Source organism: Homo sapiens, chromosome 21, assembly GCF_000001405.40.
Source record: "Homo sapiens chromosome 21, GRCh38.p14 Primary Assembly".
Classification (NCBI taxonomy): Eukaryota; Metazoa; Chordata; class Mammalia; order Primates; family Hominidae; genus Homo; species Homo sapiens.
Window position 1 is genome coordinate 22,199,990 of NC_000021.9, and position 25,344 is coordinate 22,225,333.

Consider the following 25,344-nt stretch of genomic DNA (forward strand, 5'->3'; position numbering starts at 1 on the left):
CACGTACTACCTTTACAGTATAACATTTTGTACTGTCTATATATTTTCCTTTATCAGCTTGTTTATGCTTTCATGTGCTTTTATGTTGATGCTTAGCATCCTTTTGTTTCACCTTGAGTAACTCATTTGTTCCTTTGTGTGGATTATGTTTCCTTATTACTTTATTTTTATTTACTACTTGTTTTGGTATCGACAGATGATAAGAACAACGGCTTCCTCTCCAAGTCCTCCCAGTGTGGCCTCATATGGGAGAAGGCATTCATCATTAGCCTAGCCAGAGATTCATGGGGTCTTTAAGACCTCTCTGTGTATGCATCCTCTCTGGACTTGTGCATGTACATTTCGAACGTGATTTTCTGCTTTCTTTTTTTAGAAATGTATAATTTCTTGCTTCCTCTGTCATCTATCGGCTGTACCATGTGCCTTCTGGAGTAGCAGCATGCACAAACTCATTTTCCTGTTATCAGTACCCCCCAGGCATCTACAGTGTGTCAGAATCCACCTATGCTCTGAGACAGGTGAGACTGAGTTCATTCCCTCAGGCAACCACCTAAAAAGTTTTAAATTTGACAAATGTGTTAGTCATATCTTTCTCTTCCCAGAGATAAGCCAGTCACTGGGAGTCTTCTTGACTGTGTTATGCTGAGCTGGGAGTAGGCCTCTGATGGATGAGTTTGTACTAGCCTAAACTTTTGCCCTGTTCTTAGCGTTCAGGCATCTAGAGTATGCTAGTTCCTACCAGTGTTCCCAGGGAGTTGAGACAGAAGCCAGTCCTTGGTGCGGCCCGCTGAAAAATTGGAATGTTGCATGCCAGGTCCAATGCTTTTCCTCCCCTAGGATAAGCTGTGAAAAGAGGTTTCTTCCCAATCATGTGGCACTGTACTGAGGGACAGGCTGTGAGAGGTAAGTGCACACTTCAAGCTATTGCTGTCTTCAGTGTTCCCCAGTCATGCAGAGTGTACCTGATCTCATCAGCACTCTGAGACTGGAAAAACAGAAGCCAATTCCTGGGTCAACCCCACAAAATTTGGAATGTTGGCTACATCATCCAAACTCTTTCCCTCTCCAGGGAGAAACTGGAATATGGAGGTTTCTGCAAGCTCGATCTGTGCAGAGCGAGAGAAAGGGGCTATGATAAATGAATATATGCTATTAAAAATCACCATCTTTGTTCTCGGCAGCCCCCAACCTGAGATCATCTTCTGTCAGTATCACTTGGTCAGCCTCCAGAAAGTGAGAACGTTGGACATATGCTCCACTCTTTTCCTTTTCTTTTTTTTTTTCTCCAGGGAGAAACTTTGATCTAGGGTTTATCTTCACATGGTGAGGTTGTGCAATGGAGAAACATAACAGTGTGACGGTGCTTCAAATTTTCCTACCAGCTTCTATGCAGCTGGTTTTGTGTGCTAAAGTGCAGGAGCCTCTCAACTGGTTCTTGGATTTCTCATAAGGAATAGTTTTTCCTTATGTTGTGAAATTGATGTGCCGTCTGGGAAAGCATGGCTTTGTATTTTACCTTCTTGCTGACAGCCTTCTGCAAACTTATTTTTAATTCCTGTTTGCTCTTCACAAAAATTTGCTAATTTTTAACATATTTTAATTGACTAAATTTTAATTTAAAAATTTGCTAATTTTTAACATATTTAATTTACTAAAATTTATGTGACTCTTTTATGACTTAATTTATCTTTTTAATAAAAAGGACAAAAGTAAGTAAATAAATAATGATGATAAAATAATTACTCTGTGATTATTATAGTAATGTGTTACCTTACTGAGATTTATCTTCAAATATTAGCTGAAGGGACAAAGAAGTGGATGATTAGTCCAGATGTAGTATAAAGCTGCAGGTTAAAAAGAAAGTGAAAATGGTAGGAAGAGGTAGCAGTGAGGGTAGAACTGAGATGAAGTATCCTGAGTGCAGTGCTTTCGGTAACACATATTTTCTTTGTTTATTTGTTATTATTCCCATACAGTCCAACTAGTTCAGTTGTATTTTTTTTTAAAGATAGATAGCTGTGCTTCAGTATCTGGACCAGATAGAATCTTTAAGTTTCAAATTATTTTAATGGTGATTTATGCATGAAAAGACTAAATGTTCTATACTCCATATATGATAAAATATATACTTAATATAAATACATTTCATAAAAATATGTAACTGAATATCCATGTGACAAAATTTACAAAAGAAAAAACTGTATTCATATTTTAACATGTATTGAAGTGATTATAATTTACTTAGGGGTTTGCGGATTAACAAAGGAGTACACAAGTAAACTTTCTTTACATTACTATATTTTAGTGTAGGTACAAATAAGCACAGTTTATTTTTATTTTTTAGAAAATGCTTATTCTTTTAGAAATGCTCATTATTTATCTGAGAATTTTTAAAAAATGCTCTGGAAGGCGCATAGGTTTCAGAAAGCACTGGCTTCTCATGCTTTAGTTATCCAAGTTTCTAAGGGGAAGTAATTTTTCTGTTGTTAAGTCTTTATACTTATTCATTTTAGTTCACCTTTTGGTTAAAATCTCTTGGATTAAACAAAACAGAAAGAAATGTCTTATCTAATGCCTTTCTCTGAGTTACATTGCAATAATATGCACACAATAAAGTAGTTTACTTACCAAGACATGAAAACTGCTTTTCAGCTAGAAATACAAATGTTCTCCTTGATTGAGTTTTAATGAAGACAGATATATACATCTGCAAATGTATATAGAGAAAGAGAGAACGCAGAGTGCTAGTACATGCATTTATGAGCCAGCAAGATGTGCAGGCTTTCTTTGTCTGATATTATTGTAACCCATGAGTTTGGATGTAAGTGAAGCATTAGTCTTACAGAGCAGCTTTTCCTACCACTCTATTTCTCTTCTTTTCAGCCTAGTGTCAAGCTTTCAAACCAAGCCCTCTTTTTCAGATTATCTGAGCTATCTATATCAGCCTTTTCTCAGCAATGAATATAAATGTTACATTATTTTCTGAAGTGTAATATTTACCACCCATATTCACTTTCTCTTTTTTTTTAGCCAAATATAGCTGTCTTTTGGTCTTTATAGACCTATACATCCATCCCCCTGACCATGAATGAATAGGCTTGGATTCAATTTCTTCAACCTAGCAACTTTGCCTGCTCTTCTGTAAATTTAAATTTGACTCCTGGCTTTGAGATTATTGCACAAGCCTGACAATCAAATAAAACATAGTCCTTCTTCTATAAAGTGCTATTTTCTTACACATGTCCAAACACAAACACCCACAAACCCTTAAACATGCATGTATTCCACCAAATTATATCATATTAGAGTTATCTTTCTTTAGCAAAAAGTCTCTTCCAAAATATGACTACCAAAATTATTAAGTCTTTTATAAGATGAATAAAATCAGACAGTTTAATATTTAGAGCTGATGCCTTTAATCTTTAGCATTTTGTATTTTTTTTCCCTTGACAATCTAATTTCTTCCCCACAGTTCGCCAAGGCTGTAAACTATAAGTGAAGTAGAAAGGTATGACAATCATATTACAAAATATTGAAAAGGTTAAAGTAGTAAAGCACCTTTCCCAGGATATATGAGACATTAAGATTTTGGTATTTTATATTAGTGAAGAGATTACATTGAAAAAGGTAAATGGCACAACAAAAAGTCATTATTTTTAAACAGAAAGTTCATGAGGATTCTATATGATAATCTTTCTTTTGGTCTTGAATCTTAAATAATATTTTTATAGTAATTTTAACTTAATTTAATTTAAGCACAGCTAGAATTTATGTATGCATACATGTTTATAAGTTAAATATATATGTATTTATCTCACACTTTAATGTACTGTCTAGACTCACTGTAATATTGTCAATTGTCAATACAATATTCTTTATATTAAAATAAGATTTTTGATATATTTGGGGGTTACATTCTGTATGATAGAACCCTAACTGGTTTTATTGTTAAGAGTTCAAAGGGCTTTTTAGCTGTGACAGTCCTTCCTGGATATTTGTGTTGAAGTTTGATCTCACTTACATTTCGCCTTAGCCATGTTCTCTTGCCCTAAGATCCAGATTATTACAGCAGAGGTTAGTCAATGCTCTCAAGACTTCCAACCCTGAGGACTTAATGAACGTGGCAATCTAAACACAGGAACTTGTCTAATTGATTATTTCCCAGGATGACAGTGAATGCAATTTAAGAACAAACTTTTATGGCAAGTTGTAACTGAGATTTACATTCATTCACTCAAAAGCATTACTTTAACATCTACTGTCTGCTGGGGCATTGTTCCAGACAAGCAATTCTCAAAGTGTGAACCATGTTACAATACAAGGGTCTTAGAGATTAAAAAAAATCATAATAATATTATGATATCTGCTTTTTTCACTTTCCATATCTCAAGAGAATAAAGTCTTCCAGTGAAGTCTTCCAGGAGCTAAAAGATATATCACAAAAGATTGTATATAAAAACAGTTATGAGAATCTAGCTGCCTTCTAGTAAGTCAGACATTAAAGAGATGCACAAAAATATAATATAAAGCCACTATTTCTCAATAAACATTTTTGTTTGGGAAAGTGTAATCTTTAATCTTTTAAGTGTGATCTTTTAAGTAAGTTAATAAGTGTATAATTTAATTTAAGTAAGTTAATAATCTTTTAAATAAGTAAGTGTAATCTTTTAAGTAAGTTATTTTTGCTATCATGTGTAATTATAGTTAATAACTGGAATAGAATAAGTTTAAATATTGCTAAGTTTGAATTCCTAATACCATAAATTTTGACAGCTATACACAAAAATGACATGTGGATTCATTAATAATATTTAAGGGTATAAAGGGGTCCTGACACCAAAAGATTTGTGAGCTGCTGTTCTAGGTTCTAGAATCTTAATCAGTTTTCTTCTCCTGTTCTCATGAATCCATTATGGAAGTAGTATAGACTATTTTAGAATGATCCTTAGCTATATTACTGTTATTTCCTATTTTAAGCTTTGAGAAAAACTTGTTTTCAACTCTCAAGCAGTTCATGCCAGTTCCTGGAATAAAAAGAACATCTGGGAAAAATCCCAATTAGTGTTGTTTTGTCCTAGTTCTCTTATTTCCAGTTTTTCCTTAGAGATACAAACGAAAGACCCCTAATTATAGATTTTAAAGTTTTCCTTATCCTCTTCCATTTGGCTACTAGGTGATTCTACTGTGTAAAAACTTAGCTCCACCTTTGCACAGTGGAAGTATGCTAGCTGATGAGGTTTATCTGAGGTGCAAGTATTGCTAATTCAAAACTTTTCCCAATACCCGGCCATGATGACTTGAAATATGGTCGACATTGGCAATTTTCGACAGTCTCTGCAGAGAATGAACCATCTTTGTTTAAAAAAACGAAAACAAACAAAAAAACAAAAAAAAACTTAGCTCCATGTAAAGGACTTTACATCTAACTTTGTGTTGAATGTACGGTCACATAATTTTACAAACCTCTTCCGTTTAACTTGCCCAGCTGTGTAATTAACGATGGTACAATATGCAGTTCTAAGACCCTTGCAAGCCAAATTACAAGTCTTCAGACCCTTACAAGTCTAAGACCCTTACACTTCTAAGACCCTTACAAGTCTAATTATTTTGCGTTTTTTGTTTCATATTTACTGCCCCACAAGACAATATATATCCACATTGTAATATACAAATTATATAAATTCCAGGCCGCCCACGGTTTTTTTTTTTTTTTTCTTTTGCCATTGTGTTTTCTGGCTCTACCACTGATTTGTACACATGCCTTTCTCCTCACAAATATTTTCTCATTCGGGCATCAAGAGAAACCATTTTCCACAGGCTTTGGAGAGAGACCTTGGTTGGAAGCCCAGCTCCGCCATGAACTACTTATTTGATCTCTGGCATGTTATCAGCATTTCTAGATCACTAGTTTTTCATCAATGGAATGAAAATAATTACAGTACCTGTCTTATAAATTTGTTATTAGAACAATATGGATTAAAGCATGAAACTATTTTGTAAACATTCTAGCACAATGAAAATTTTCAAGAAATGCTTGTTGTTATGATTTTTTTGTTTATTGTTAAGCCACCAAACCTGATGACTTTCATTTCTGCCCATGAATGTCTCTGTATTCTGAAATCTTTCAGTCTAAAATATGCATTAATATTTTCTTTGCAAACTTGTATGCAAGTTACTTATGAAACAGAGCAGGCTAAGGCCGATTGGTGTTGGAATTTTTTAAATGAATACTATCATTTGTTATATGGATTTTTAAATTTCAGATATTAGTTGTGCTCTTTAAGCTGATAGGAAAATAATATTTTGGTATTTTTTTAAGATGAAAGCTGAAATTTGGAATCAGGATGTTTTTAAGTAAAGATAAAAAGGACATGCAGCCAATCAAATCAAATCAAACTTGAGATTATAATTATGAAATAATTTCATGTGAAAATCCTAATTCCAATTTTGTCATGGACGAAGGTATCTATTGCTAACATGAAATTTGATTAAAATGTAAATTATTGTTTGAGCTAACTAATCCAAACCTAGAAAAAGTACAAAAGCATCAAAATGAAAACAGGTTTGAATGTTTGCTTTATTGATAATTATCCCATTAATCACTACCAAACTTCAATATTTTAAAAATAAAAATCAGCCTCATGTATTTAGTTTTTTGTTTGCTTGTTTGTTTAAAAGTAAGCTCAGCTGGACAAGAAAGTAATTTTAGCAAGAAGAACCTTTGGCTAAGACCTAGTCTACCTGTCCTTGAACTTTAGACATCATATGTTCCAAAGTTATTTCAATCAATTTTAAAATCTATGCAACAGGAAAGTAACAGTATGTTCTATTGTATGGGTTAAGTCTCACAAATAATGCACTTGCATGTATATGAGTTCTTTCACTTATTCAGTTCTTTTCTTAAAATATGATCTCCTCAGAGAAGACTTAATGACCACCTGTCATTAATAGCTGCTTTCACTCTCTTCATCTTACTCTGATTTATTTTTTCCACAACAATTTTAACTCCTGAAAAATTGTATTTCTTAATTTGTTTATTGTTTATTATATATCTCCACTAGATTGTAAGCCAGTGAAAGCAAGGGTTTGTTTCTGTACTCTGCTATACATATTTCCAGCTTCTAAAAGTAGTCCTGGTATATAATAGGTTCCTAATAAATATTTGTCCAATGAATAGATCAATGAGTGTATTTAGAAGTAGAATTTCATTAAACATTTTTAGAAGCATTTAACATGTTTTACATATCTTAAGATATAATTTTATTATTATATTAATTCAACTTTGCAAGAGTGCACAAATAAATGACCGTAATGAATACATGTACATGTTTTTAAAAACTGGGTAGTCTGATTTAATGGATGTGAGCATAAACTTATTTCAGAGTTTATTCATATTTAAGTGTCTTCCTTATAAAATACAATGAAGTTGTGAAAAGTACAGGTCTATCATTTTAAAATATTTAAGAAAAATTTAAAAAGTTGTCTAATTCATCCATTTTTTTGAAATATATGTTTTAAAATCTCAAAATAAGCACCCATTTAACTAAGTAAATATGAGTGCTAGTCATTACTGGTCAGTTACATTTTTTCCACCTTGAAAATTGTACTTGAAGTTTGAAAATAGACTAAATAACTGCAAAACTTTAAGTAAAATATATGCATATTTGCTACAAGTCTACCAAGTGAAATTAACAAATACAACTGCTTTTAAATAATCATCTACCATTTATAATGTCATATTTTCATTTATTTAAATTCTAGGATTTATTTTTCTTGAGTTATAACAACACCCCCATTTATTATTTCACAGTTTCTATCGATCAGAAGACAGGCAGAGTGTAGCTGCTTCTCTGTTCAGGGTATTACAAGGCTAAAACCAAGGATTAAGCCAGATTGCATTCTCATCTGGAGTATAGGAGCCATTTTTAAAGTTGAAAATGTATTGATACCTAAATAATCTTTCTGTACTACTTGTTATTTGATGCTTTTTTAGTACCAAATATTTGATACACCTTACACCTTTAAGGCGTAAGGTGATATTTTAGTGACTTATCTAACCCTCCTGAAATTTATTCAACTTTTTTCTCTATTCTGTGTCCTATAACTTTCCATCACTTGATTTTTCATCCTATTGCCAAATACTACACTCAACTTAAAAAGTCTTGACTGCAAATGTTTCTGTGTTTTTAATTTCTAGAATTATAATAGGTATCTTATTTCTCACAATATATTTAATATTTGAAAAAATGATTTTTGAGTTATAAAGTACTTTTAAAACTTTGAAGTATTTGACATTTTAAAATAGAAAGATGTTTATGATGAGAATCATTAACTTTGGGTTTTAATAATCCTCTAAGCACTATTTACACAAAAAATTCTTTTTTAAAAAAATTCAACAGGATTTTTGGGAAGAGGTGGTGTATGGTTACATAAATAAGTTATCTAGTGGTGATTTCTGAGATTTTGGTGCACCCATCACCCGAGAAATGCACACTGTCTCCAATTAGTAGTCTTTTATCCCTCACCTCCCTCCCACCCTTTCCCCCGAATCCACAAAGTCCAATGTATCATTCTTATGCTTTTGCATCCTCATAGCTCAGCTCCCACTTATGAATGAGAATATACAATCTTTGGTTTTCCATTCCTGAATTACTTCACTTAGAATAATGGTCTCCAATTCCAGCCAGATTGCTGTGAATGCCATTATTTTATTCCTTTTTATAGCTGAGTAGTATTCCGTTATATATAAATATAATTATATATAAATATAATATAAATATATATTATAATATGTAAAATATATATTTACATTATATATATAATTATATATAATATAAAAATAAATTATATACATTTATATATAAATATATACTTATATATACTTATATGTTATATATAATTATATATGTTATATATAAGTGTATATAGTATATACACATATATATTTTTATATATGTATAAGTATATATATACTTACACTATATATACTTATACTATATATAAGTATATACTTATATATATACGTATATATACATAAGTATATATGTATATATATAAGCTTATATATAATTATATATACTTATATATATTTATATTATATATAAATTTTTATAGCTGAGTAGTATTTATATATATAGATATTTATATTTTTATAGCTTAGTAGTATTCCATTATATATATTATATATTATATATATCATTATATATAATATATATGAAATATATATTCCATTATATATAATATATAATATATATTCCATCATATATAATATATATAATATATATTCCATCATATATTATATATAATATATTCCATTGTGTATTATATATAATAGATATACCATTATATAATATATAATATATTTTCCATTATCTATTATATATAATATATATTCCATTATATATATTATATATATAATGGAATACTACTCAGTATAAAAATTTTATTTATATATATAAAATTCCATTTTATATAACACTTGTTGATTGATGGGCATTTGGCTTACTTCCATACTTTTGCAATTATGAATTGTGCTGCTATAAATGTGTGTGCAAGTATCTTTTTTGTATAATGACTTCTTTTCCTGTGGGTAGGTACCCAGGAGGAGGATTGCTGAATCAAATGGTAGTTCTACTTTTAGTTCTTTAAGAAATCTACACAGTTTTTCATAGCGTTTGTACTACTTTACATTCCCACCAGCAGTGTAAAACTGCTCCCTTTTCGCCACATCCCCACCAACATCTATTATTTTTAATTTTTTTTAATTATGGCCATTCTTTCAGGCATAAGGTGATATTGCACTGGTTGGGTTTTTTTCCTTTTTCTTTTTCTTTCTTTTTTTTTTTTTAAGACGGAGTATCGCTCTGTTGCCCGGGCTGGTGTGCAGTGGCGCGATCTCGGCTCACTGCAAGCTCCGCCTCCTGGGTTCCCGCCATTCTTCCGCCTCAGCCTTCCAAGTAGCTGGGACTACCGGCGCCCGCCATCGCGCCCAGCTCATTTTTTTGTATTTTTAGTAGAGAGGGGGTTTCACCGTTTTAGCCAGGATGGTCTCGATATCCTGACCTTGTGATCCGCCCGCCTCGGCCTCTCAAAGTGCTGGGATTACAGGCGTGAGCCACCGCGCCCGACCTATTGGTTTCTTTTTTTGACACGGAGTCTCACTCTGCCACCCAGGGTGGAGTGCAGTGATGCAACGTCTCCCTCTTGGGTTCAAGCAATTCTCCTGCCTCAGGCTCCCAAGTAGCTGGGATTACAGGTATGGGCCGCCACACCCAGACAATTTTTGTATTTTATTAGAGAAGAGGTTTACCATGTTTGCCAGTCTGGTCTCGAACTCCTGACCTCAAAAAATCTACCCGTCTTGGGCTTCCAGAGTGCTGGGGTTACAAGTGTGAGCCACTGCACCCGGCTTGCATTGTGGTTTTGATTTGCATTTCCTTGATCATTAATGATGTTGAGCAGTTTTTCATATGTTTGTTTGCCATTTGTGTATCTTCTTTTGAGAATTGTCTATTCGTGTCCTTTGCCCACTTTATGATGAGATTGTTTTTATCTTGCTGATTCGTTTGAGTGACTTGTACATTCTGGATATTAGTTCTTTATCAGATGTATAGATTGCCAAGATTTTCTCCCAATATGTGGATTGTCTGTTTACTCTGCTGATTGTTTCTTTTGCTGTGCAGAAGCTTTTTATTTTAATGAAGCCTCATCTATTTATTTTTAGTTTTGTTGCATTTGCTTTTGGGTTCTTGGTCATGAGGTCTTTGACTAAGCCAACGTCTAGAAGGATTTTTCCAATGTTATCTTCTAGAATTTTTATGTTTTCAGATCTTAGATTTAAGTCCTTGATCCATCTTGAGTAGATTTTTGCATAAGGTGAGAAATGAGGATCCAGTTTTGTCCTTCTACATGCGGCTTTCCAATTATCCCAGCACCATTTGTTGAATAGGGTGTTGTTTCTCCACTTTATGTCTTTGCCTTGTCGAAGATCAGTTAGCTATAAGTATTTGGGTTTATTTCTGGGTTCTCTATTCTGTTCCGTTGATCTATGTCTATGTGCCTATTTTTATACCAGTACCATGCTGTTTTGGTGACTATGGCCTCCCTGGTGTGAAACCCACTTGATAATGGTGGATTATCTTTTCGATATGCTGTTGGATTCAGTTAGCTAGTATTTTCTTAAAGATTTTTCCATCTGTATTCATCAAGGATATTGGTATTCTTTTTTTTTGTTTTGTCTTTTCCTGGTTTTGGTATTAGGGTAATACCAACTTCATAGAATGATAGCAGAAAGATTTCGTCTTTCTCTGTCTTGTAGAATAGTGTCAACAAGATTAGTACCAATTATTTTTCAAATGTCTAATAGAATTCAGCTGTGAATTCATCTTGTCTGTACTTTTTGTTGGCAATTTTACTGTTTTATATACTTAAGCAGATAGGCCCCATTACGTACATTTTCTCAAGATAAGCAGTAACTAGTTCTCAAGTAAGAGGACTTAATGGCATCTTTTATTACACATCCTAAATTTATATGGAAATTGGGGTAACCATCTATGTTAGCACAATTGAGCAACCAGTTAACAATAATTTATTGTATATTTCATAATATCTAAGAGAGGATTTGAGATGTTTCCCCCCAAAAAGATAAATATTTAAAGTGACAGATATCCCAATTACCCTGATTTGATCATTACACTTTTTATACTTCCACCAAAATATCATATGTATTTTATAAATATATACAACTATTATGTATCCATAAATTAAAAAACAAACTTCTTAATCTCAAATAGAGTAAAATGATAAACTAAGGAACAGAGGCAAAAATAGTATATGTGTCTTCGGGCAAAATATTAGTTTTGAAAATAAACAAATAAAAACACAAATATAGCAGACATTGGATTAGACCTCTAAAGGAGGCAGGATGTTTGAATTGAAGAATTACTCCCTTTACTTTTACTTGTTTCTTTCTCTGCCCTTCTTATTGTGATCTCAGTTGCCACAATTATATCTGCAACCCAGAACTCTGTGAAGGCATATTGGTGAAGGCTCAAAGTCATTAAATTTTGAACAGATGTTTATCATTTGACGCAGCACCAATGTTGACAACACTAGTCACTGTCACAATGACACTGGCTTGTCGAAGGGCACTGGTGGAAATGGAGAAAAATTAATGACATAACATTTGCAGAGAACTTACTATACTTACTGTGTATCTGTCACTGTGTTCAATACTTTGCCAGAATCTCCTAACAACAGCTCTGAGATACAGGTTCTATCAATAATTTATCATCACTGTATAGTTAAAAAAATTTGGGCTTATTCAAGATCATACTGATAATAAGTGGTAGATCCAGGATGTGGGTCCAATTGATATGTGGCCAGAGCCTGTGTACTGTGCAAATTTCTAAGGTGTTATACTTGTCTAGTCTCCCCATCACTGTATGTATGTATGTCTTGAAAATTGATGAAGCCACCATTGCCACTGCTGACACTTCACGTTAGCTGTGCATTCCTCTTAGGAACAGCTCACCTCAATCATGCAAATTTCAATAGATTAAAACCTTAACAACCTCCTAATCTAATAACCTTTGTTATATGTCATTAATAAAACATCTCCTTTGGTTTGACTTTTATTTGCAGTGTTTGTCCTTAAAACTTAGGCATAATGAAAGAATCCAAACTGGCAAGAGGCAGCCATTATGGTCTCTTCAAAATTTCTTCACTCTATTTTCCTTTGTCCTAGAAAACTCTTGAGTTCTCCCTGAAAGGAGACTAAAGAACAATCCTCTGCAGATGTGTCTGAATCCTAAAATGAACTTAAGGTATGTCTAAGAAGGTTCCACAAGAATTCCTAGACTTCTAAGATATTTTTGTATTCCAATATTTAATGTAGTATTTATATTAGATTGTGTATAAGTTGCTACTTGTTGGGAAATTTTGACTTATTGCCTTATTCTCTTCATTTTTAGATTTTTAGTTCATAGAAAAATAAATTGTTTAATTCTCAATGCCAAATATTTGATGAGAATCCAAAGAGGAATTAAAACTATATTTGTTACTGTCATTCTAAAACTTAGCTACATGCTTTAGCTTTTCAGATACAATTGTGACAGATATAGTACACATTGCTCTTTTGAAAAGTTTGAGTAAAATAAAATAATGAAAATGCAAATATTTAAACTTATAAGCTGATTTTTCTGTTTGGTGAACTTGTAGCAGAACTCTGCTTCTGCACATAATATTCTTTTAGAAACCATGTATTATTTCTCAATGTTGATTTATATTATCATATTCTTATAAACTGTACTATGTTTCTGTTGTATGAATGCATTTGTACAACTCTGTGCATATGCCAAGCTTGAATAGGAAGTATTGAAAATAGAGCAAAGAGGATTTTTATTTAATCTGAAGGAAAGATTATATAAAATATATATTTACTTTTGATAAGTAAGATTATATGTTAAATCTCACCTGAGGTATTTTAAATAGCCCAGAGTTTGAGAAATGCCTTACTGATGATTGTCCTTTTTGGGGTCATCAGAATTGACTACATTTCTTTGGGTAAATGTGGGTTGTTTCCCTGAAGGTATGGATTCCCCAGCAGATAGTCTTTTGTGGAATATGAAAATTTATTACCTAAAATCCTGCTGTGGGAAGGAGACCATAGGCTGGAGAGAGGAAAAAAAAAAAAAAGACCTTCTTCCTTCTGCTGGTGTGCAGTTAGTTTGGCCCACATTCTAAGGGATGGACAGAAAGACCTGAGACTCTTAGTGATGGTGGCATGAGGGGTAGGTGAGTTCTCCTTTGCCAAGTGGAGAAATGCTAAAAGCCTGCCAAGAGGTGGCCTGCAAAGGGACTTGTGACGTGTTTCAGACTGTGCAGTACTTGAATATTATTTTTCACGGTAAGTTCTTTCATCTAAGGGAAAGTTTTGAATACCGGCTTATTAAATGAAGTAATTTTAGTATTTGTGAAAGCAATTAGGGATTTTTTTTGTCTATTGTTGGGGTGAAGTATAAATGTATATAAAAGTGCATATTCACTACAGCACTCTTTGGGCATTGCAACCTATCAGTCTCACAAGGGCCAGAGACAGGAAGCAGGGAGAAGAAGAAGAAGGGCTCTGAATTAAAGGATGCCTAAGACTTGTTTTCAGTATGCATAAACTGGAATATTGGTACCTTCCAGAAGTAGTTGGCAGGTAAAACTAAGGGAAACTAATTTCCTTAGGTAAAAATAGGGTGGGTGCAGTAGGACCATGAATACAGAATTTGTAGCATATACATCTAAATTTCAATTTAGCAAAGAATCCCAAGAAGAAAATTACATGCAATCACTTTCTACAGTAATTTTCCTCTAAGTTCCCTGTCCTTAAAAGAAGCTAATATGATGAAGTGGCTGAATAGACCTAGTAGGAAGAGATGCTAAAGAATGGGATTATAGTAATTTATTATTCAATCATCTATAAGATAGTTTTACCTATATGTAACATAAATTAGGTAGCAAAATTACCTGGGGAAAAATAACATCAGTCTAGTGGCCGAGAATGAAGAAATATCTACAGGGAAAACTCATCTCTGGCAAGCAGAAAAGATGAGATTTCATAAAATGAGGTTTAAGGGGAATAGTTCACTTTCATTGGTTTTTTCCATGTAGCAGCTCAAGATATTAGAAAGCAAAAAAACAAGATTACCAAAGGATAAAGAATGGGAAATTAAATAAAAGAACACTATCAAGTTTGAATTAAATTCAACACCTATTTAGGTGAGTTACCAGAGAGCTCAGTTTTAAGAATCAAGCAAATCTTGAATGTATACCTAGTAGATACATCATGATGCGTTTTTTCTTTTAGAACTATTCTTTTATGTTTTTTTCTTTCCATTTCCACGTGATTTGTTTGAGACAGTCAGTGAGGACACCACACCCTTCACCCAACCCCAATACACACATAGTAACAGAAGAGGCGTATTTGCCAGTTTTCCATAATGTCCATGATGGGCCAATGGGAATTTTTTACTTGAGAATGAGAATTTTTAGAAAAGATACATGGAATTTTAGATGGCTATTTTTAAGTGACCTGATCAGTGAATGTGTTTCAAAAAAAGCTTTGATAAGCCCTTATGCTTTATGTTATTAGTTGTATATTTGCAATATATATACAGTCATCTGCCACATAACATTTCAGTCAGCAGTGGACCTTGTATACAATAACGGTTTTATAAGATTATAATACTCTATTTTTACTGTGCATTCTCTATGTTTATATATGTTTAGATACACAAATACTTATCATTGTGTTACAACTGCCTATAGTATTTAGTAGAATCACATGCCATACAAATTTGTAACCTAGGAGAAAAAGAGTATAACACATAGCTTGGATTGTTGTAGACCCTACCATCTAAGTTTGTGTAAGGATACTCTGTGATATTAGCGCAATGATAAAAGTCACCTAATGACGCACTTCTCAGAGTCTATTCTGTTTTTAAGTGACACATCACTGTACATATATTCTTTTTAATGATTATTAATTTCTCAATTTGGACCCATGAAAAACTATTATATTCTTTTAATAACTGCTCACTCTTTCACTAGAGCTTCCTGAAAGCTGGTTCCATTTTCCAAAGTCAGATAACATTATCTAATAGAGGATATGATATAAATGTTGCCAGAAATTTGTCCAGAAGGACAAATTTAAGAATGTTAAATATTTCATGCAGTTCTTGTGAGTAAGTTACTATGGACAATATACTACCATATAGATACTCACAAAAATTATAGGTTAAGATCAAACATGAGATGACAGTCAATTGCATTCAAATGATTACACACACACACAGACACACACACACACACACACATATATATATAATACTGATTCATGAAAATAAATATCTCACTTTATTGTAAGAATGAGAATATAGCCATGTGGCAAAATAGGAATTGAAAAGGAATTTGTCAGTGGAGACCTTTGCTGTAATATGAACATTTAGATAAATTGGCAAAGATTTACAAAATCTTCTACTACTGTCAACTTGCTCATGCTAGATGACTCTTTCCTAGGTAGCATATCTCATCTAAACAAATTCAAACATTTGTAGTTGAGTTAAACAAAATATATTTGAGCACATTTTCTGTTGAAATGTTAATTCATAGAGTAAAACATTAATTTACAATTTGGAAGAATTGCAAGTAGAAAATCATGTTATAAATGTATTGAATCATTATGTTCTCCAATGCCTAGTCCATATGTATTATTTTTCCAAATTTAAAGAGGTCAGATTTTTAAAAAATACAATGTTTTTTGAATCTTCCCATGTTTAGCTCCCCTCTAATTATTTTAAGAGCTAATGTCATTATTAAAGAAGACATTTTGAAGATCCTCTTCCAAGACTCTTCCAGGCATTTACTAATTTTGTGACATATTTTTGTTAGAAAGCATCTGGAAATTGGATCTCAGTGACTTACCAAAAGAAATTAAATATATACATACATATATGTGTGTATATATGTATGCATATATGTATATATACGTATATGTGTATATATATGGTTTTACATTTAAGTACAAGGAATAACATTTAAATACCTTTGCACTGTCTTCTTTAATATAACATTGTATTTCAAAAAAGAAATAAAATATTAGATCCAATTTTTATTATGCTACATAAGAAAACATGGAAAATTAAATAATGGCATCTATATTGTTTTCCTGTTACTGCTGTTAATAAATGATTACAAACTTAATGGCTTAAAACAACAAAAAATTATTATCTTATGGTTCTAGAAGACAGAAATCTGAAATGTATCTTATGGGTTCAAATCAGGGTGTCCTCAGAACTGCATTTTCTCTGGAGACTCTAGAGAAGATTCCATTTTCTTACATTTTTCAGCTTCTAAAAGCTACCTGCATTCTTTGTTCTGTGACTCCTTGTTTTATCTTCAAAGCACATCACTCATAACTCCACTCTTTATCTTTATATCACCTCTCCTCTTTGACACTCTGATAGTTTTGTCTACTTTTGTCAAGAACACTTGTGCCTGTATTGGGCCCATTGGGATAATCCAGGGTAAACTCCCCATTCAAGGTCCTTAATATAATGACAGGCACAGAGTTCCTTTTGCTAAGTAAGATAATGCAGTCTCACGCTGTATGGTTTAAGACCAACCTGGGGGAGGCATTTTTTAGCCTACTATACTGTTTCTAGCCTTAGAAAAAGGCACAATTTTTTAATGGCCAAGAAGTAAAACAGAATTAAAACCATAATCTCAGTGTTAGGATGCTGTCTCTCAATTCCATTTAAATATTCTTGTTCTTAAAGCTATGTAACAGATCAAATTATTTAGAAAATAGTGCTATTAAGTGCAAAGTGAGTTGTTGGAGAGGTCAACAACATGACGGTTGTAGGTACCTTAATAAGAAACAAACAAGACAGAAAAATAGTTTGAACTAATAATCGAACTAATTGCGGAAATTTGAAGAGGGACTTAAAAATAATAAATTAAGCAAGTTTACCAATACTGCTAAAAGAATGAGCTAAAAATACACAAATGATTGGATTGATAACTGGTAGAATAGGGAAAAATAAATTTAAAATGTAAGAAATATTTTAAAATATTGACTCAAAATATCCTTGAAGGATCTCAGGATGGAATATAGACAATTATATAAAAATTTAAAATATTAAAAAGTATTACTAGTAGTGCAGGGAAAGAGGACATGGGAAGATGTTGGTCAAAGGGTACAAAATTACAGTTACACAAGATGAATTTCAAGAAATGTACTTACATACGCCACCCTTAAATATGTGGACCATAATTTTCTACCCCATAATTGTGTCCCAGTCTCTTTCAAGGAGTACTGTAGAAAAGTGGAGCTTCAAGAAAATAACTACACAGTGAAGAAGCCTGACAAACACCATTTCAGCCAGTTGACCAAGGTTAACATCATCAGTGATGTCATCCTGATAGCATGCACCTTATTATGGTGTAATCAGAATGGCATTTTACCTGTGTGGTCTTCCACCCAAGAACTCCTAATCCCAATCTAATATTGAGAAAAATATCAGAGGAACCTTAATTGATGAACAGTCTACAAAATATCTAACCAGTGTTCGTCAAAACTCTCAAGTCACATAAAACAAGGAAAATATGAGAAATTGCCACGGTCTAGAAATGTCTAAGGAAACATGATGACTTAAATGTAATTTGATATCCTTGAAAGAATACTGGGCAGAGAATTACCATTAGGTAAAACTGAGGAAATTTAAGAAAAGCATGTACTTTGGTTCATCACAATGTATCAACAGCATAGTGAATGTATCGTGCTAATATAAAACGTTAATAAGAGGGGAAACCGGAATGGGGTATATGAGACCTCATTGAACTAGCTTTGCAAGAATTTCTACAAATGTGAAACTGTTCTAGAATACAAATTAATTAAGGTAAATCAATTACCCTGGAAAACTCGGTAGTCTTCTCCATCATCACTTTTTCATTGAGAAATATCTTGTCCAGGATATCAGTTATTTAATAATAAATAATTATTTTACTGTGATAAAATGTATGAAACTTAAAATTTGCCGTTTTAATCATGTTTAAGAGTACAGTTTTGTAGCATTACATACACTTACATTGTTGTGCAACTATTATCATTATCCATCTCCAGAACATTTTTATCTTTCCAATTGAAACTCTATTCTCATTAAACAAAAATGTCCCATATCCCCATCTCTGCAAGTTCTTTCTCTACGAATTTGACTACTCTAGGTTGCTTATATAAATGGAATCATAATAATATTTGTCATTTTGTGTCTGACTTATTTTACTAAACACAATTTCTTCAAGATTCATTCATGTTGTGACATAGCAGAATTTTCTTTGTTTTAAAGGCAGAATAATATTTCATTTTATGTGTGTACCAGGTTTTGTTTCCATTTATCTTTCAACTAACATTATGGTTGTTTCTACCTTTTGGCTAGTGTGAATAATGCTGCTATGAATATTTCTGTACAAATATCTCTTTGATTTTCTGCTTTCAATCCTTTTGAGTATATACCCAGAAGAGGAATTGATGGATTATACATAATTCTGTGTTTACATTCTTGAGGAATCATCATAAAATAATAACTTATTATTAACAAGAATTAGACCACCTGAGAAACATACACTATAATATTAAAAGAGGTTAAAAGAAAGATAACATTTTAAAAAACTCTTCACTTAATGTTCTTTTGGCAAAAGAGAATTGTAACTAAATATTATAGAAGAAATTTAAAAGGAAGAATAAAGCACTTTAATAAAGGAAGATTATAAAGTAGACATGCAAGAACACAGAGTAGATAAGGCACAAGAAAGATGAAAATAAAATATGAGTTTATAAATTGAAAGATAGCATCTTATATCAAAAATAATTGATCCATAATTGTAAAAACAGAAACAAATCTTATTACTTTTTATGGAACTTTGAAAATAATGAAAAAATATTTGCACCTCTTCTTAGGTAAAACAAATCTAAGTAATTTATAAGTAGCATGATAACAATATATCAAAATTTCATGGAAAAGTTTTAGTACATAAATGTCTAAAATTAATATAAATTATGTTTTTTAAATTCCGTATGTCCTCATCTTGATAACAAACCCATTGTTCATCCAAGCAATTGAAAAAAAAATCAGATTGGCCTTGGATTTCTCTAGAGTCATTTGCAGTACCAGTAGACTGTAAAGATCTTAGATAGTTTCACGCGAACTTCTGCAAAATATAAAATAAAAAAAAAATTTGCACCTCTGCTACTCTGATGAATACACAGCCAAAATATAGCCTAGGGCACGTGCATTGACCTAATTCCCTCCTGAATAAATATACAGCCAAAAGTCCCTCAAACAAAAAATGAATGCTAAATAATCCTACTTGTATCTCTGTATACTCTTTAAATGGAAATTTAATGGAGACAAAACATCCCCATACAAATTGAAAATTGAGAATACGTGTTTAATTTTTTTCCTGTATGTAATGTATATAATATGTTGCTAAGAAACAGGGAAATGATTTCATTTCTCTTACTACCTATCCGTATTTGGTATAATTTATAAGTAGTTAAAAATAGTTAATGTGAATTAACAGTGGAAATATTATGTCTTGCCAAAATAAGATGAGAGAAAATACAAGGTACCACCTCTATCCACCCATTACACTTAATATTTGACAGTAAGTTTGTTTGCAAGAAGATAGCAAGTCTACTAAATCCTGAAATGTCTTGTGTAGCATGAAAAATGCCATTCACTTTTCTAATATTTTGTCTCAAATTTGAAACAGCAAATATGATAAACATTTTAATCAGAGGTGAGAAATAAACATTTTAATCAGCGGTAAGAAATTTAATAGACTTTGAGCCCAGCCCTATAAATAATAACTGTGAGGTCACTATTAGTACTGACATCACAGGGTTTTGACTCATATGGTATAAGCCTATATATAATATTATTAAATTATACATGGAAAATAATAAACACCATATTAATATTAGCTGTTATTATTATATGAGCCATATTCAATGAATGTTTGTCAGAGTTCTTCAGTGGCAGGCAAAATTCTGAGTACTATATACCAGTGACCAAAGCAAAGAGTCTTCCCGTTGTGAAATTTTTCTCCTAGGGATATGTTGGGGAAAGAGAATACAGGCAATACAATTTTTTATAATCATACTATCGTATTTATTATGTGATAAGTGCTAAGAAAAATAAATTAAAATTGAACAAGATATACCTAGAGCTCAATAAAATACTTTTAATTTCTTCTGATACAATAATTATTAAAATATAGAAAAAGTTATAATAACATAGTACAATAAAATGTAGAGCAAGTTATAAGGGGTTCACAGGACATAGTTGAGAATGGTTCCACTTTTAATTAATCAGAGTAAACCTCACTGAGTAAATAAATACACAAGCTGTGCACAAATAGAGCAATAGAAAGTTGGTGGGTTAATGAACAAGAAAGACCATCTTTATTTTGGAATATTCAATTTTGTAGCGGTATGCAAACCAAACAAAACAACTGCAGGCTGTGTTCTGTTTATCTGCTACTGTGTTTGACCTCTACTTTAAAACAGAAAATAACTCAGAGCGACTGCATTCTAAATTTAGTCTACTAGCTTTCAAAACATTTGTTTTGTCAGTGCTACACACAAGATTTTTCAAGTTAATATAAATGTGGTTGAAATGTATACTAGCTCATCCTTGAGCTATTGCATAGCCTCTTAACTAGTTGCCTCTCGTTGTCTTGTTTCTCTTTCCATCTTTCTTACCCAGATAAACTTTTTTAGATGAAATAAATGAATGCTTTACTCACTTGATCACAAGTAGTCAACTCTGCAGTCTACTAAGTCAAATCTAAACAGGTTAATCTCTACCATCCTGTGTCTTTTTCCCCAACTACACTTTCAAATGGCATATCATTTCTTGCACATCACTTATACTGTTGCATTATTCAGCCTTTCCTCACTTTTGTTACTGTGCCAGGACATTAATCAACTGCATACATTTCCACTGAAATAATATCCCATCTTTCAGTCTTATACAGCCAATTCTTCTGATTTTTACCAACAGAAATAAACTCTTCTGAAGTCCTACGTTTCTTTGTTGGTACTCTTTTTATAATATACTTCGGTTGTAATATAATTCCTCATATTGGTTTACATTCCTTGTGAGTTTGAACATTTTTTTGCAAATGAAACCTACATAGTTTTGTTTTCTACTCAGAACCAATCTCAAATAGATGATACTAAAGAAAAAAAATATGAGAGTATGAGAGTTGCCATTCTTGTATCCATCACCTTGTGCTCCGAATTAAACAGATAAATTAAATAGATGAAATTACTTTTTATGGAGATACTTTATTTTTACATGGACAAATATGCATGAGAAAACTAGCTATGCTTTATGCTGTTAATAAAGGAAAGGGTGAAAATAGAGTAGATATTACTACATAAGTAACTACTGCCTTTTATAGCTGAAAAAATTCATGTAGCCTATTAGAGAGAAAAAAAAGAGAGAGAAAAGAACAAGACAGAGAGAGAGAACAAGCAAAAGGGCAAGCACAAGAACAAGAGCATATCCAATATCAAATTCAACATAAATAAAACTGATAGACTCAATACCAATATAAGAATAATTTACATACTATACATTATATCAAAATATCAGTTATTTAATAGAAATTAACTCGATTGTTCAAGTTTGAATTACCATTTTTACATTTTAATTTTAATAAAGTCCAGTTTATCAAGTTTTTTTTCATGTATTCCATCTTTAGTATTGTTTCTACAAAGTCATCATTATACCCAAGATCATTTAGGTTTTTTCCTGGGTTATCTTCTAGAAGTTTTGTAGTTTTGCATTTTCGTTAGGTCTGTAATCCAGTTTTATGTAACTTTTCTGAGGGGTGTAAGATCTATCTACGTTTATATTTTTGTATGTAGATGTCCAGTTGTTCCAGCACCACTCGTTGAAAAAATTATTGTTGCTTCTTTCTATTGCCTTTGCTCTTTTTTCAAAGACAAGTGGACTATATTTATGTGGACCTATTTCTGAGCTCTCTATTCTGATCTATTGATCTGTTTTTTTTAATTCTTTGCCAATGGCACACTATATTACTGTAGCTTTATAGCAAGACTTGAGATTGAGCAGTGTCAGTCCTCTGACTTTGTTATTCTCCTTCAACATTTTGCTGTTTTGGATCTTTTGCCTCTCCGTATAAACTTTAGAATCTTTAGAAACTTTAATGATATCCATAAAATAACTTGCTAGAATTTTAAATGGGATTTCATTGAGTCCATAGATCAATTGCAAAGAACTGATATGTTGACAATATTATCTTTCTATCCATAAACATGGATAATTTAGTTATTTGATTTTTTTAATCTGAATCTTGTGGTTTTTCTTCATATAGAGTCTGTAAAAATTTTGTTAGATTTATATCTAATATTTCATTTTTGGGGTGCCAATTTTAAATATTATGTTTTTATCTTCTACATGTTTGTTACTGGTAATTATTATATTTTAAAGTTATATTGAGGAGATAATTGATATTAAACCTTTATAAATTAGACATACTCTCAATTTCATATAAATTTTCATGCTTTACATGTTGTTCAGAGTATTTAGCACAAATAATCTACTAAAAATAGAAACAGTAGCAGTAATATTAACAATTAAAGTGAATAAAGTTAAAGTAGAATAAGGAGAAATAAAAAACTTGACCTATAACCAATAACAAGGTTATAGAATTAGTTCTCAAAATTCTTCCCAGAAGGAAAAGCCTAGTTCCAGATGGCTTCATCAAGAAAGGAAAATGTTAAGAACTGAAATGTAATCTCTAATTCTCCCTCAGTGTGGAATACATAAGATTGTACTAGATATAGACTAATGTTCTTGATGAGATTGTTTAGTGAATGCTGTTCAAAGGATGTATCTGTCAAACATCTTGTCTGTGCTGTTGAAATGTTTTTTTACTTATCTATACTTGTTAAAATGCAGCAAAGGAATGAAACTAGTCTGACACTTCAAAGAGTGTTACATGCTTATCGAAGAGTGAAAGTGGAAAGAATGCAGAAATGAAAGTTTCTTTCTGAGTTGAGGTGGTTCCCAGTCAGCACTGATTACTGTAAAAAAGCACATTCCTGTGAAGTGTGATTAAAGATATCACTATTTATGCTTGGGAGTCGCAAAAGCCTCACTATATTCTTTCTTAAAACTAATGTACCGTGCTTCTCAGCATGATTTATAGTTTCTCATGGCTTAGGCTATCAAGCAGAGCTAACTAATTAATTTGTTGATGACACATATGCCAAAGATTTATATTAAACCGAAAAAATTGTTTGAACTAAATTTTTATGGGTAACTTAAATAAAGAAGAAATACCCTACAAATTAAAATGAAGCCAGTATAACTGTTATAATAAAACCTAACAGAGGCACAGTAGTAATTGAAAACTTAAAAACAATTTCCCTGAAGACCATAAATAAAAATATTTTATATAAAACGTTAGCAAATCAAGTAGATATAAGTATGTGTGTGTGTGTGAAAATACAAACAAAAAAGTTAGATTTATTACAGGAATGTGAGGTTGATTTAATATTAGAAATATCGATTAATTTACCACATTATTTCTGCAAAGAGAAACATTTGATCGTCTCAATTGAAATGGAAATAATAATAATATATGAAACTTTTAAGCTACGTTAATAGTAGTTTAATTCATTTGGATTGATTGTTCTGCTGAAGGAAAAACAGAAAGATCAAAACAATATTTTAAAAAATCAAAGTGAGGAATAATCTAGAAAAACTGAGGAAACAACAGAAGGCAGGTGACTCTGAATTGTTTCCACCGTGATGTATTTGGTGATCTGGTGTAGGTATCTGAGAGACTGAACTAAGCTGTAATGGACTAATTTGGAGATGGTAAAACAGGAACTGAAATTCGGTGTCAGCCATACTTGGAAACCCTGGCTAATCATCTCTCTTCTGGGCTAGACCCACATGAGCTAAATCTCTTTAAATAATTTTATTCTTATAAACGTAAATAAAGAGCTCCACATGCAGCGAACTTGAAGAGCTTAATGAATTAAGGTTGAATTCCAGTGATTGCCAGCCATTCAGTCCCTGATGAAACCCACCCAGCTCCAGATGCAGAACACAACAGCACTAGACATAATAGTGTTGACTTTTTCTCAGCACGTCCTCTAGAGCACCTAGAAACAATGGCCCTTGATTCTGGACTGCTAACATCCACAGTGTCTAGTAGGAGAAAAGGAAAATCTGTGGAGTAAGAAAATGACATCTTAGGTATCAAATTACTTACATAAGTAATTATTTTAATACAACATGGTGAGCATAATCTAAGACAAACAGCAAATAAGAAGATAAAACTATGTAAGTCATAATGAGCAGAACAAGTTAAAGACAGAAATATACCCTCAAAATTTTAGTTAAAAAATTATCAGGTGCTGTCTGTATGATACATTATTATAGTTTATCAGCTATTGCTTGGAAAACCTAAACTTTTCTCTTTTTTATCGGTACATTTGTTTTGGAGAGAATTTTATTTTCTCCTACCAAGTCTTGGGATAATCAACCAATTTAAGAAGAGCTCAAATTTTATGAATAAAAGTAAATGATACCCAAATCATTTATAATAACACTGCAGAAAATCAAAGACAGATACATCGTTTTAAAAGTCTGGGTTAGGGTAGGAGGAAAGCTAGATCAGCTCCAATGAGGTAATATTCTGATAACTGAGTTTTCAGTAGAAGCAGAAAAAAAAAGCTCTATGTCAGTTAGT

General features: G+C 32.0%; 1 long non-coding RNA gene and 1 pseudogene across 1 annotated transcript in view; both read left to right on the forward strand.

The window, feature by feature from the left end:
* Positions 5,203 to 5,343, forward strand: RNU4-45P (RNA, U4 small nuclear 45, pseudogene; annotated as a pseudogene).
* LOC107985508 (uncharacterized) overlaps positions 9,931 to 25,344 on the forward strand; it is a 193,177-nt gene continuing 177,763 nt past the window's right edge. Inside the window, exons 1-2 of the long non-coding RNA XR_007067937.1 lie at positions 9,931 to 10,255; positions 12,746 to 12,824. This is a non-coding gene — a long non-coding RNA (uncharacterized LOC107985508). The remainder of the gene's footprint in view (positions 10,256 to 12,745; positions 12,825 to 25,344) is intronic.